The sequence below is a fragment of the Homo sapiens genome, chromosome 10 (assembly GCF_000001405.40).
Source record: "Homo sapiens chromosome 10, GRCh38.p14 Primary Assembly".
NCBI lineage: Eukaryota > Metazoa > Chordata > Mammalia > Primates > Hominidae > Homo > Homo sapiens.
Genome location: NC_000010.11, coordinates 13,300,144 through 13,313,856, shown reverse-complemented (window position 1 = coordinate 13,313,856; position 13,713 = coordinate 13,300,144). Strand labels below are relative to the sequence as shown.

The 13,713-nt window shown below is 46.5% G+C and overlaps 1 long non-coding RNA gene and 1 pseudogene across 1 annotated transcript, besides 5 other annotated features; one reads left to right on the top strand and one right to left on the bottom strand.

Moving 5' to 3' along the window:
- Positions 5,354-5,768, top strand: RBISP1 (RBIS pseudogene 1; annotated as a pseudogene).
- On the bottom strand, positions 10,889-13,668 carry LOC124902377 (uncharacterized). Its single transcript, XR_007062056.1, has 2 exons — positions 13,451-13,668; positions 10,889-11,803 (listed from the first exon to the last, which is right to left on the bottom strand). It is a non-coding gene; the product is annotated as an uncharacterized LOC124902377 (long non-coding RNA).
- Positions 11,105-11,254: an enhancer, noted in NCBI's record as "active region_3053". NCBI's record gives its function as "activates an Ori minimal core promoter by ATAC-STARR-seq in GM12878 lymphoblastoid cells {active_cell/tissue: GM12878}" and the evidence as "EXISTENCE:reporter gene assay evidence [ECO:0000049][PMID:35858748]".
- Positions 11,445-11,734: an enhancer, noted in NCBI's record as "active region_3052". NCBI's record gives its function as "activates an Ori minimal core promoter by ATAC-STARR-seq in GM12878 lymphoblastoid cells {active_cell/tissue: GM12878}" and the evidence as "EXISTENCE:reporter gene assay evidence [ECO:0000049][PMID:35858748]".
- Positions 11,445-12,091: a biological region, named in NCBI's record as "H3K27ac hESC enhancer GRCh37_chr10:13343766-13344266".
- Positions 11,591-12,091: an enhancer, noted in NCBI's record as "H3K27ac hESC enhancer chr10:13343766-13344266 (GRCh37/hg19 assembly coordinates)". NCBI's record gives its function as "activates a minimal SCP1, AML or CMV promoter by ChIP-STARR-seq in primed H9 embryonic stem cells {active_cell/tissue: H9 hESC(primed)}" and the evidence as "EXISTENCE:reporter gene assay evidence [ECO:0000049][PMID:30033119]".
- Positions 13,467-13,606: an enhancer, noted in NCBI's record as "active region_3051". NCBI's record gives its function as "activates an Ori minimal core promoter by ATAC-STARR-seq in GM12878 lymphoblastoid cells {active_cell/tissue: GM12878}" and the evidence as "EXISTENCE:reporter gene assay evidence [ECO:0000049][PMID:35858748]".

Genomic DNA, 13,713 nt, shown 5'->3' with positions numbered 1-13,713 from the left:
ATCGAGACCACGGTGAAACCCCGTCTCTACTAAAAATACAAAAAATTAGCCGGGCATGGTGGCGGGTGCCTGTAATCCCAGCTACTCGGAGAGGCTGAGGCAGGAGAATGGCTTGAACCTGGGAGGCGGAGCTTGCAGTGAGTCGAGATCGTGCCACTGCACTCCAGCCTGGGCGACAGAGCGAGACTCCATCTCAAAAAAAAAAAATTAAAACGGCCTATAAAATGTTAACGTTGATCATTACCCAGTATCCAGTCCTATATGTTGCTTAATTCTTTTTTTTTTTTTTTCTTTTTTTTTTTAGGCAGAGTCTCACTCTGTCACCCAGGCTGGAGTGCAGTGGCGTGATCTCCGCTCACTACAAGCTCCGCCTCCCAGGTTCAAGCCATTCTCCCGCCTCAGCCTCCCAAGTAGTTGGGATTACAGGCACCTCCCACCATGCCCGGCTAATTTTTGTATTTTTAGTAGAGATGGGGTTTCACCATGTTGGGCAGGCTGATCTCGAACTCCTGACCTCAAGTGATGGGGGTCACTCAGCCTCCCAAAGTGCCGGGATTACAGGCATGAGCCACCGCACCTGGCTGGCATATCTCTTTCTTACTACATCCAGGAAACGTTTCTCCATTTTCAGGACTCATGATTGCAGTGGGCTCACCCAGATAATACGGGGTGATCCCCCTATCAAAGTCCTTAACGTTAATCACATTTGGAAAATCCCTTTTGCCAGGTAAGGTAACAGCCACAGATTCCAGGGATTAGGGCGTGAACATCTTTGGGGAGGACCGTTATTCTCCCCACCACAAGGCCGTATACCCACGGGGTAGCTTCTTCACCAGGGGAGAGATTTTTGCAGCCATGAAGCAAAGCTGTTGCCTCAAACATGGTATTTTTAAAATCAGTGAACAAGAATTGCTTACACAGCCATACCAAGCGGGGGCCAGCAGGGTGGCAGGTCTGTTCACCACTAGCTACCAAGCTTTGTGCACAAAGCAAACGTGGGCCACTAGACAGGCTGTGGCAGAATCGACTTACCTTTTTTTTTTTTTTTTTTTTTTGAGACTGAGTCTCGCTCTTGTCACCCAAGCTGAAGTGCAGTGGCACGATCTCGGCTCACTGCAACCTCCACCTCCAGAGTTCAAGAGATTCTCCTGCCTCAGCCTCCCCAGTAGGTGAGATTACAGGTACCCGCCACCACACCCCGCTAATTTTTGTATTTTTAGTAGAGATGGGGTTTCACCATGTTAGCCAGGCTGGTCTCAAACTTCTGACCTCAGGTGATTTGCCCCCCTCTGCCTCCCCAAGTGCTGGGATTACAGGCATGAGACACTGTGCCCGGCTGGAATCGACTTTTCTTTTTTCTTTCTTTTTTTTTTTTTTGAGATGTGGTTTCGCTCTTGTTGACCAGGCTAGAGTGCAATGGCGTGATCTCAGCTCACGGCAACCTCCGCCTCCTGGGTTCAAGAGATTCTCCTGCCTCAGCCTCTGGAGTAGCTGGGATTACAGGCATGTGCCACCACGCCCGGCTAATTTTGTATTTTTAGTAGAGACGGGGTTTCTCCATGTTGGTCAGGCTGGTCTCGAACTCCCAACCTCAGGTGATCTGCCCACCTTGGCCTCCCAAAGTGCTGGGATTACAGGCATGAGCCACTGCGCCCGGCTGGAATCGACTTTTCTTTTTTCTTTCTTTTTTTTTTTTTGAGATGTGGTTTCGCTCTTGTTGACCAGGCTGGAGTGCAATGGCGTGATCTCAGCTCACTGCAACCTCCGCCTCCTGGGTTCAAGAGATTCTCCTGCCTCAGCCTCTGGAGTAGCTGGGATTACAGGCATGTGCCACCACGCCCGGCTAATTTTGTATTTTTAGTAGAGACGGGGTTTCTCCATGTTGGTCAGGCTGGTCTCGAACTCCCAACCTCAGGTGATCTGCCCACCTTGGCCTCCCGAAGTGCTGGGATTACAGGCGTGAGTCATCGCACCCAGCTGGAATTGACTTGTCTTTTCTTTTTATTAATTTATTTTTTTCTGAGACAGAGTCTCACTCTGTCGCCGAGGCTGGAGTGCAGTGGTGCAATCTTGGCTCACTGCAACCTCTGCCTCCCGGGTTCAAGTGATTCTCCTACCTCAGTCTCCTGAGTAGCTGGGATTACAGGTGCGCGCCACTAGGCCCAGCTAATTTTTGTGTTTTTAGTTGAGATGGGGTTTCACCATGTTGGTCAGGCTGGTCTCAAACTCCTGACCTCGTGATCTGCCTGCCTCAGCCTCCCAAAGTGCTGGGATTACAGGCGTGAGCCACCGTGCCCGGCGGAATTGACTTTTCTATAGTGCAAGGATAACCTAGCAGTTTCTGACCAATGTTTTAGAGAACATCCTATCCCAAATACTTACATTATACAACAGCAGAGAAATTCTGTACATGATTCATCTTCTAAGTGTCTTCCTCTGTAGGAGTGGTCCCCAACCTTTTTGGCACAAGGGACTGGTTTTGTGGAAGCAATTTTTCCACAGACTGGGGCACAGTGCCCGGGGAAGGTTTCAGTATGATTCAAGCACATTACATTTATTTTGTACTTTATTTCTACTATTATTACATTGTAATATGTAATGAAACAACTGCAACCCACCATAATGTAGAATCAGTGGGAGCCCTGAGCTTGTTTTCCTGCCACTAGACGATCCCATCTGGGGGTGATGGGAGACAGTGATGGATTATCAGGCATTAGATTCTCATAAGGAGCAGACAACCTAGATCCCTCACATGCAGTTCACAACAGTTCCCGCTCCTGTGAGAATCCAGTGCCACTGCTGATCTGACAGGAGGCAGAGGTCAGGTGGGAATGCTTGCTCACCCCATCCTGTGTGGCTCGGTTCCTAACAGGGTACAGACTGGTAAGGGTCCCCGGCATGGGAGTTGGGGACCCCTGCTCTGTAGTATTTCTCTCTGAGTCACCAGCTTCCAGAGTCTCATTATTTTACCCTTTCACTTGAGTCCCAGTTTTCAGTGGGTTGGGCACTGCCTTGCTGCAATCTCTTGAAATCTGTCGGGGCCACCTATACTGTGACTGCCTTCCGTTGACACCCTCAGAGGATGCAGGTCTAAGGTGACAGCATCACAAAATGGACTTGCGGATCTCTCAGTCATTGCTGGAGAATCATTGACAAGTAAACTTTCATTTGGTTGAGGCATTAACAGTTCAGGGTTTACTTATTACTACAGCATAGCTTAACCTACCCTAAGATAGAAATCGACAGGCAATTCACAAATACACAAATGACCAATGTAGAGCTCAAAACTTGTTCAATCTTACTAGACAGGCAAATTTAAACAATATGAAGTCTTTTTATTTTTTGCCTACCTAATTGGCAAGAATTTAAAAAGGGTAAGGTGGCCGGGCACGGTGGCTCACACCTATAATCCTAACACTTTGGAAGGCCGAGGTGGGTGGATCACCTGAGGTCGGGAGTTGGAGAGCAGTCTGACCAACATGGAGAAACCCCGTCTCTACTAAAAATACAAAATTAGCAGGGCGTGGTGGTGCATGCTTCTTTCTAATCCCAGCTACTCAGGAGGCTGAGGCAGGAGAATCGCTTGAACCCGGGAGGCGGAGGTTGCAGTGAGCCGATATCGTGCCATTGCACTCCAGCCTGGGCAACAAGAGCAAAACTCCATCTCAAAAAAATTAAAAAAAAAAAAGGGGATAAGGCCCAGGTTTTGTCAATGCTCAATGCTCATTGATAACAGCATTTTGAGACTTGTTTGGCAATATTGAAATGTTTAATAGCCTTTGACTAGCAACTCTATGTCAATAATTTATCCTAAGGAAATATCCATGGGACTACCCAACACTGAAAATCAGCACATTCATCAAATTATTTACAATTGTAAGCAAAAAAGAAAGAAAGGAAAAGAAAACATAAACTTACATATAGTAATAGGACATTGGTTCAATGAATATAGGAAAATCCACAGGCTAGAATGCTATGAAGTCATCAAAAATCAGGTCTTAGGCTGGGCACAGTGACTCACAACTGTAATACCAGCACTTTGGGATGCTGAGGCGGGCGGATCACCTGAGGTCAGGAGTTCGAGACCAGCCTGGCCAACATGGCAAAACTCCGTCTCTACTAATAATAAAAAAATTAGCCAGGCGTAGTGGCGCACACCTGTAATCCCAGCTACTCAGGAGGCTGAGGCACAAGAATCGCTTGAACCCCAGAGGCAGAGGTTGCAGTGAGCTCAGACAGTGCCATTGCCCTCCAACCTGGGTGACAGAATGAAACTGTGTCTCAAAAAAAAAAAAAAAAAAAAAACAGGTCTTATGGCATTTAAAATACGGAAATATTCACAATGTAATAATGAGTTTTGAAAAACAACTCTATATGCAGTATGATTCCAATTTATGTATTTATGTATGTAAGTAAGTGTGTTTTTATTGAGACAGTCTCATTCTGTCACCCAGGCTGGAGTGCAGTGGCATGATCATGGCTTACTGCAGCTTTGACCTTCCAGGCTCAAGAGATCTTCCCACCTCAGCTTCCTGAGTGGCTATGACTACAGGCACACCACCGCGCCTGGGCTAATTAAAAAAAAATTATTGTAGAGATGGGGGTCTCACTTTGTTTCCCAGGCTAGTCTTGAAATCCTGGGCTCAAGTGATCGTCCCACTCTGGCCTCCCAAAGTGTTGGGATTACAGGTGTGAGCCACCACACCCAGCAGTCTTTTTTGGTGTTGTTTTTTTGTTTTGTTTTGAGACAGGGTCTCACTCTATCACCCAGGCTGGAGTGCAGTGATGCAATCTCGGCTCACTGCAACGTCTGCCTTCCAGGCTCAAGCCATTCTCCTGCCTCAGCCTCCAGAGTAACTGGGACTACAGGTGCACGCCATATGTCCGGCTAATTTTTTTGTTTCTTGGTTTTTTTTTTTTTTTTTTTTTGAGACGGAGTCTCGCTCTGTCACCCGGGGGGAGTGCAGTGGCGCAATCTCGGCTCACTGCAAGCTCCACCTCCTGGGTTCACGCCATTCTCCTGCCTCAGCCTCCCGAGTAGCTGGGACTACAGGCGCCCACCACCACGCCCGGCTGATTTTTTGTATTTTTAGTAGAGACGGGGTTTCACCGTGTTAGCCAGGATGGTCTCGATCTCCTGACTTCAAGTGATCCACCCACCTCGGCCTCCCAAAGTGCTGGGATTACAGGCTTGAGCCACCAGCCCACACCCATCAGTTTTTTAAATGTTTCTTTTTGAGACTCTGTTTCAAAAAAAAAAAAAAAATTATCTGTAATTCTACCTCAAAAGTCACGTTTTTGGAGACTATGTATTCATGGTAAAATGTCTATGCTGTAATCTAAGGTGAAAAAAAGATGCGGCGTCACCTGGAGTTTAAGAAGCTGCACGCAAGTATTGAATTCCTGACAATGGCCAAGAACAAATTTAGAGGGCAGAAGTCCAGGAACGTATTTCGCATAGCTAGCCAAAAAAGCTTTAAGGCTAAAAACAGAGTAAAACCAATTACCGCTAATCTTAAGAAGATACACATTATGAATGATGAAAAAGTCAGCAGAGTAAACAAAGCTTTTGGAAGTGTACAAGAGGAACTTCCACATTTCTCAAAAGGCCTTTCTCTTGATCTTCTGCAGAAAGAGCTGATTCCTCAGCAGCGTCATCAGAGCAAACCAGTTAATGTTGATGAAGCTACAAAACTAATGGCTCAGCTGTAACACACTGGTGATGCACCTAATTCTCCACAAAGACCAATAAATTAAGTGTTTTCTACCAAAAACAGATGCAATGCAGTCTATTCAGTGTATTCAGTGTGATACCAACTTTGAAAAAATATATACGTATGTATGTATGTACCTGTATAAAATGTATATTTTTCAACTAAATGTGAATGGGAAAAAATATAGTGAATTGTAACAGTGGTTTTCTTGTGAAGAGCAGCCACATGAGTTAATTTTAGAGGTTTTTTTTCCCTGTATTTTTTCTTTTTTCTTTCTTTCTTTCTTTCTTTTTTTTTTTTTTTTTTTGAGATGGAGTTTTGCTCTTGTTGCCCAGGCTGGAGTGCAGTGGCGCTATCTCGGCTCACTGCAACCTCCACCTTCTGGGTCCAAGCAATTCTCCTGCCTCAGCCTCCCAAGTAGCTGGGATTACAGGCATGCACCACCACACCCGGCTAATTTTGTATTTTTAGTAGAGATGGGGTTTCTCCACGTTGGTCAGGCTGGTCTTGAACTCCTGACCTCAGGTGATCCACCCGCCTCGGCCTCCCAAAGTGCTGAGATTACAGGCGTAAGCCACTGCTCCTGGCCTAAATTAAGTGTTTTATACAAAAAAAGATGCAATGTAGTGTATTCAGTGTGATATTAACTTTGAAAAAATATATACATATATATGTATATACCTGTATAAAATGTATGTATTTCAACTAAATGTGAATGGGAAAAATAGAATGAATTTTAACAACGGTTTTCTTGCAAAGAGCAGCCACATGGGTGAATTTTAGGGGTTTTTTCCCTATATTTTTTCAAATATTCTACAATATATGTGTATTATTATTGATCACAAAACATTGGGTCATTTAAATATATATGTAATATATAATGTAAACTAATATGATTTTTAAAAAATTTTTTGAGACAAGGTCTCACTCTGTTGCCCAGGTGGGAGTGCAGTGGTGTGATCATGGCACACTGTAGCCTCTGATTCCCGGGCTCAAGTGATCCTCCCGCCTCAGCCTCCTGAGTACCTGGGACTACAGGCACACCACGATCATGTCCAGCTAGTTTTTTAGCTTTTTTTCATAGAGATGGGGTCTTGCTGTGTTTCCCAAGATGGTCTCAAACTCTTGGCTTCCCAAAGTGCTGGGATTACAGGCCTGAGCCACCATGGCTGGCCAAATTAATATGATCACATAGCCATACAAAGTGGGGGCCAGCAGTGGGGAAGGTCAGTTCACCGCTGGCTGCCAAGCTTTGTGCACAAAGCAAGCCTCGCCCACCAGGCAGACTGTGGCAGAATCAACTTTTCTGTAGTGCCAACATGAGATGATTAACGCCAACATGAAAGTATACATAAATCCCGGCACTTTGGGAGGCCGAGGCGGGCAGATCACCTGAGGTCGGGAGATCGAGACCAGCCTGATCAACATGGAGAAACCCCGTCTCTACTAAAAATACAAAATTAGCCGGGCATGGTGGTGCATGCCTGTAATCCCAGCTACTTGGGAGGCTGAGGCAGGAGAATCACTTGAACCTGGGAGGCGGAGGTTGTGGTGAGCCAAGATTGCGCCATTGCACTCCAGCCTGGGCAACAAGATCGAAACTCTGTCGGAAAAAAAAAATAAAGAATACATAAAGGGCCATGGAAATACAACAGTTTCCAATGAGAAGTTTCTTTCTTTCTGCATTTTGGACAATTTAGAATTAAAACACCACCTTCCCTTTGCTGTCAAGCAGCCTCTGTGATTCCAGCCTCCCTGCACACACACGTGTTCCATTCATATCCATGGGGAACTGACACACAGAATGGAAGGTGTGTGCGCGCATGCGTGCATGTGTGTGTGTGTGCATGTATGTGTATATGTGTGTGTGTATGAGTGTGTGTGTGTGATTTCTTTCCCTATTTCCTTCCTTTCTGCCCTCCTTCACCCTAACATACCTTAGCCCTCACTCTTCCTGCACCTGCTGCCTTGTCCCCTGCCCTGTGTCGTTTAGAGCCTGGGCATGGCACTGCCTTTCCCTCTGCTTACGTGGATCATTGCTGTACCCCCTCCTATGTTTCCCTGTTTCTTTTAGACAGCTCGGTACAAATTAGGTACCCAATAATTGTGTAGAGGTTTGCTGGTTGATTTGTGTTTATTTCATGGTAGATCATTTACCCCGGGCCTCTCAATCCAAATAATTCCATAAGTGATAATTTTATTCTTTCCTCTTCTCCCAGATTTACACACCTATATTTCTTAGTTTCTAATTTAGGTTGGAAGATGAGATATTTCTTTGCACCACAGATGTCTCCATTCTTCAGACTTGTTTTCATTATAGCTGACATCAGAAATGGGCTTCGAGAAAAGCAGGAGATCCTCTCGCTTCAGCCTCCTGAATAGCTGGGACTACAGGTGCGTACCACCACACCTGGCTATTTTTTTTTGAGACGAAGTCTCGCTCTGTTGCCCAAGCTGGAGTGCAGTGGCGCGATCTCAGCTCACTGCAACTTCCCCTTCCCAGGTTCAAGCGATTCTCCTGCCTCAGCCTCCTGAGTAGCCAGGACTGCAGGCATGCGTCACCATGCCCAGCTAGTTTTTGTATTTTTAGTAGAGACAGGGTGTTGGCCAGGCTGGTTTCAGACTCCTGTCTTCAGGTGATCCGCCCACCTCGGCCTCCCAAAGTGCTGGGATTACAGGCGTGAGCTACCGCACCCAGCCTACATACCTGGCTAATTTTTAAACTTTTTGCAGAGATGGGGTCTTGCAATGTTGCCCAGGCTGGTTTTGAACTCCTGGCCTGAAGTGATCCTTCTGCCTTAGCCTCTGAAAATGCTGGGATTACAGGTGTGAGCCACTATATTCTAAACGAACTTTAAAACTTGTAACCAAATGACCTCACCTACAGTAATATCTATTCTCAGAGTTTTTGAATCTGGAGTTGATTGCAGATAATTTTTTATTCATATAATGACATTTCCTTAAGTGTGTACAATGCTTGAACAACTTATTATTGTTATTATTATTATTTTTGGAATCTCTCTCTGTTGCCCAGGCTGGAATACGGTGGTGCAGTCTCACCTCACTGCAACATTTGCCTCCCGGGTTCAAGCGATTCTCCTGCCTCAGCCTCCTGAGTAGCTGGGACCACAGGCGCCCACCACCATGCCTGGCTAATTTTTTTATTTTTTTAGTAGAGACAGGGTTTCACCATTTTGGCCAGGCTGGTCTCAAACTCCTGACCTTGTGATCCACCCGCCTCAGCCTCCCAAAATGCTGGATTACAGGCATAAGCCACCACACCCAGCTAACTTTTTAAACTTTTTAAAATAAATTTTAGAGATAGGATCTCTATCACTCAGGCTGGAGTACAGTAGGGGATCATGGCTCACTGCAGCCTAGAACCCTGAGCTCAAGCAATCCTCCTGCCTCAGACTCTGGAGTAGCTAGGACTACACGTGCGCCACTGCACCCCGCTATTTCTTTTTAAAATTTTTTGTAGAGGCGAAGTCTTGCTATGTTGCCCAGGCTGGTCTCGAGCCTCTTGGTTCAAGCAATCCTCTGCCTCGACCTGCCAAAGTGCTGACATTACAGGCGGGAGCCACCATGCTTGGCTTCAACTATTTATTTATTTATTTAATTTATTATTTTGTTTTTGAAACACAGTCTTGCTCTGTCGCCCAGGCTGGAGTGCAGTGGCACAATATTGGCTCACTTCAACCTCCACCTCCTGGGCTCAAGCGATCCTCCCACATCAGCCTCTCAAGTGGCTGGTACTACAGGTGTGCCACGCTCAGCTAATTTTCTGGGGTTTTTGTTTGTTTGTTTGTTTTCTGGTTTTCGTTTTTGTGTTTGTTTCTTTGTTTGAGATGGAGTTTCACTCGTGTTGCCCAAGCTGGAGTGCAATGACGCTATCTCGGCTCACTGCAACCTCCACCTCCCGGGTTCAAGCGATTCTCCTGCCCCGGCCTCCTGAGTAGCTGGGATTACAGGCATGTGCCACCACGCCCAGCTAATTTTTTTTTTTTTTTTTTTGGTACTTTTAGTAGAGACGGGTTTTTAACATGTTAGCCAGACTGGTCTGGAGCTCCTGACCTCAGGTGATCCACCTGCCTCAGCCTCTCAAAGTGCTGGGATTACAGGCGTGACCCACTTCCCCTAGCCAGTTTGAACAATTTAATCCAAGATTTTAAAACTCAAACATTTTACTTAGCTGTTCAAATATGGCTATTATTTAACAAATCATTTAATTTATATATATGGGGAAAACTATTCCTTAGATCATTTTGAAAATTGTGTTTCAAAACTTGTCTGCAAGGTTACTTTCAATACGTAAGTAACCAAGCACATTACTGGAAGTGGGGGGAAGCTAATTTTGAAGTAATCTTCAAAAGGTCAACTTTAATAAGAAATGAATAAATGCCTAATACCAAAGGGGAAAGAACTTTTCATTCTTGTGATAATGTTTACATTCCATTAATGTTCTGCTTCAATTGTTCTAAAATATTTTTATTTTAATAACATAATTATTAAAGATGCCTACTTAGGGAATTTTCCAATAATCCAAATAGCTATTTGAAAGAAAACTAGTAACATTCATCAAATTACCTCTTTACCTACGGAGAAATTATTATGTTAATTCTCCGTGGGATCTTAAATGAAAAATGTTAAACCCAGCATCCCTCTAATTTTAAAAAGGCAGATAACAATTGTGAGCATTTAAGAATTTCCTTCATCTGTCGGTAAAAAGCATCAGTTTGGGCCGGGTGCGGTGGTTTACGCCTGTAATCCCAGCACTTTGGGAGGTTGAGGCGGGCGGATCACTTGAGGTCATGAGTTCGAGACCAGCCTGGCCAAAATGGTGAAACTGGCTCTACTAAAAATACAAAAAATTAGCTGAGCTTGATGGCGCGCCTGTAATCCCAGCTACTCAGGAGGCTGAGTCAGGAGAATCTCTTGAACCCGGAAGGCAGAGGTCGCAGTGAGCCGAGATCACGCCCTGCACTCCAGCCTGGGAAACAGAGTCAGACTCCGTCTCAAAAAAAAAAAAAAAAGAAAAGAAAAGCATAAATTTAAATACATCTAAATATCTAAGTACATCCTTGTATAAATGCCTTGGGGGAGAGATGGCAGGAATTTTCACATGGTTGTGAAATTAGGGCATTTTAAAGGAACAGTAAAAACACAGGTGTAAGTAGCTTCATCTCATTCGAATTTCTTTATTGGTCATGAAAACCAATCACCGTCAGCGCGGGTAAAGGTCCTGATCTTTTTTTTTTTTTATTTTTTCACCCAGGCTGGAGTGCAGTGGCACGACCTCGGCTCACTGCAAGCTCCGCCTCCCGGGTTCACGCCATTCTCCTGCCTCAGCCTCCCGAGCAGCTGGGACAACAGGCGACCGCCACCACCCTGCTAACTTTTTTGTATTTTTAGTAGAGACCGGGCTTCACCGTGTTAACCAAGATGGTCTCGATCTCCTGACCTCCTAATCTGCCTGCCTCGGCCTCCCAAAGTGCTGGGATTACAGGCGTGAGCCACCGCGCCCGGCCAAGGTCCGATTTTTTAATAAACAAGGGAAGGGTGATGAACTGAATTCACAGCTTCAGTTTTTTTTCTCCTGGCAGCAGTGCCCACATTTCACCAGGCGAGGGCAGAAAGGAGAGACCGCCTCGCCGGTCCACATCCAGAAAGGGGCGTTCCCAAGGGCAGAAAGAGGCCGACCCTCCACCTGCACCCGCCCCAGGCCCTGCGCTTGCGTTCAAACCGTGACAAACCGTAGAGTCCTTGAGAGCCCCGGGTTACTCCTACATGGTCATATTCCCGCGCGGGATGCCGAAGTGGGGCAGATGAGGTCCGGAGCTGCTGAGGGATCCCGGGTCCTTCTGTTGGTCTGAGACCCTGGGGCGGGCGGAATCCCGGAGAAAGCCGGAGGGACTCCCCAGTGGAAGCCTGGGAGCTGCCGTTCTCCTCCCTGCCTGTGCAAACAGGAAGGGGCTGGTGATGCTGGCTGCGGGCCTCCCTCCTGGACTGCGACATTGTCACCAAATTCTATAAAGACGTCATGCAGGAAGTGATAACGTGTGCTGCGACGTTCTGGAAGTAACTCGAAGCTAAAAAAGAACAAAAAATCAATGAAAAAATGAAACTAAAGAAACAATGAGATGCTATGTCAATATCCGTAGTTATGGAATGGAAAATAAATCTTACAAAGAGATGCTGGAGTTATCTAAGAAATTTACACCATACTGGCCTGTGTGCATCAGACTTTTCTGGAGGTCATTTATTTTATTCACTTTTTTTTTTTTTATGACCAACCGAACTTTCTAATATTTTGGGCTGGAGTCCCACTAAATGAAATACCCCTTTTGAATGGCACATATGACTTTTAGGGATGCATCTTAGCATTTTTATTTTTTTATTTTTATTTTCAAAACTTCATTGATGTTTTGGAGTTTTGTTTGTTTTTTGTTTTTGTGTTTTTTGGACATGGCCTCACTCTGTCGCCCAGGCTGGAGTGCAGAGGCACGATCTGGGCTCACTGCAACTTCAAACTCCCGGGCTCAGGTGATCCTCCTGCAGCAGGACGAGCCGCAGACAAAACTCAGACACCGGATTAAAGAAGGGCTGTATTAGGCCGGGAACTTCGGCAGACTTGCAACCGAGGTCCCTGAAAAAGAAATTCTTGGCCCTTTTAAGGGCTTGTAACTCTAAGGGTCTACGTGAAAGTTTAGTGAGAGATCGAGCAAGCGTGGGGAACATGACTGGGGGCTACAGGCAACAGCTAACAGAACAGAAAGTTTTGCAATGCTTCCTCATACAATGTCTGGAATTTTTATTTATTTAATTTATTGATTTATTTTTTATTTTTTTTGAGACGGAGTCTTGCTCTGTCGCCCAGGCTGGAGTGCGGTGGCGCCATCTCGCTCACTGCAAGGTCCGCCTCCTGGGTTTACACCGTTCTCCTGCCTCAGCCTCCTGAGTAGCTGGGACTACAGGCGCCCGCCACGACGCCCGGCTAATTTTTTTGTAGATCAGGTGTTCTCACTATGTTACCCAGGCTGCTTTCGATCTATAGCGATCCTGAGCTCAAGCGATCCTCCTGCCTCGGCCTCCCAAAGTGTTGGAGTTACGGGCGTGAGCCACCGCACCCGGCTAAAAACCTGTTTGTTTGTTTGTTTGTTTGTTTAGAGACGGAGTCTTGCCCTGTCACCCAGGCTGGAATGCAGTGGCGCCATCTCGCTGACTGCATCCTCCGCCTCCCGGTTGCAAGTGATTCTCTTGCCTCAGCCTCCCCAGTAGCTGGGATTACAGGCGTGCGCCACAACACTCAGCTAATTTTTGTATCTTTAGTAGAGACGGGTTTTCACCAAGTTGGCCAGGCTGGTCTCGAACTCCTGACCCCGTGATCCGCCTGCCTTGGCCTCCCAAAGTGCTGGGATTACAGGCGTGAGCCACCGCGCCCGGCAAACTTTTTGTTTAAATCGGAGATTTTATTCTTTCAGCTGTCAGTGGAAGGAGCAGTCACGTAGGGTTAAACAGATGGAAGCCATGACGTTAGGAGAGTGAGTGAGGTCCCAGCCCAGCCACTTGTCACTGTGTGACCTCGGCCTGGTCACTGGGCCCCCGAGCTTCGGTGCGGCAGGGAGGGTCCTGGTGATGGAACAGAAACAGGGTGCGGGGCAGGGGTAATGACTCACGCCTGTAGTCCCAGCACTTTGGGAGGTCGAGACGGGAGGCGGGGGGAGTTTGAGACCCACCTGGGCAACGTAGCGAGACCCCATCTCTACAAAAAATAAAAATTAGCCCAAGAGTTCAAGGCTGCAGTGAGCTATGATCGCGCACTGCACTCCAGCCTGGGCGACAGAGCAAGATCTTGTTTCTTTTTAAAAAGAAAGAAAATAAAGGACGGAAGGATCATGGTGTGGGGAGGACTTCAGCCCCGGGCGGTTGCCCGGCGCGCGGACTCTAGCGGACTAGGGCTCCCCAGCAGCCCGGCCCGCGAGCTGGCACCGCCCGGAAT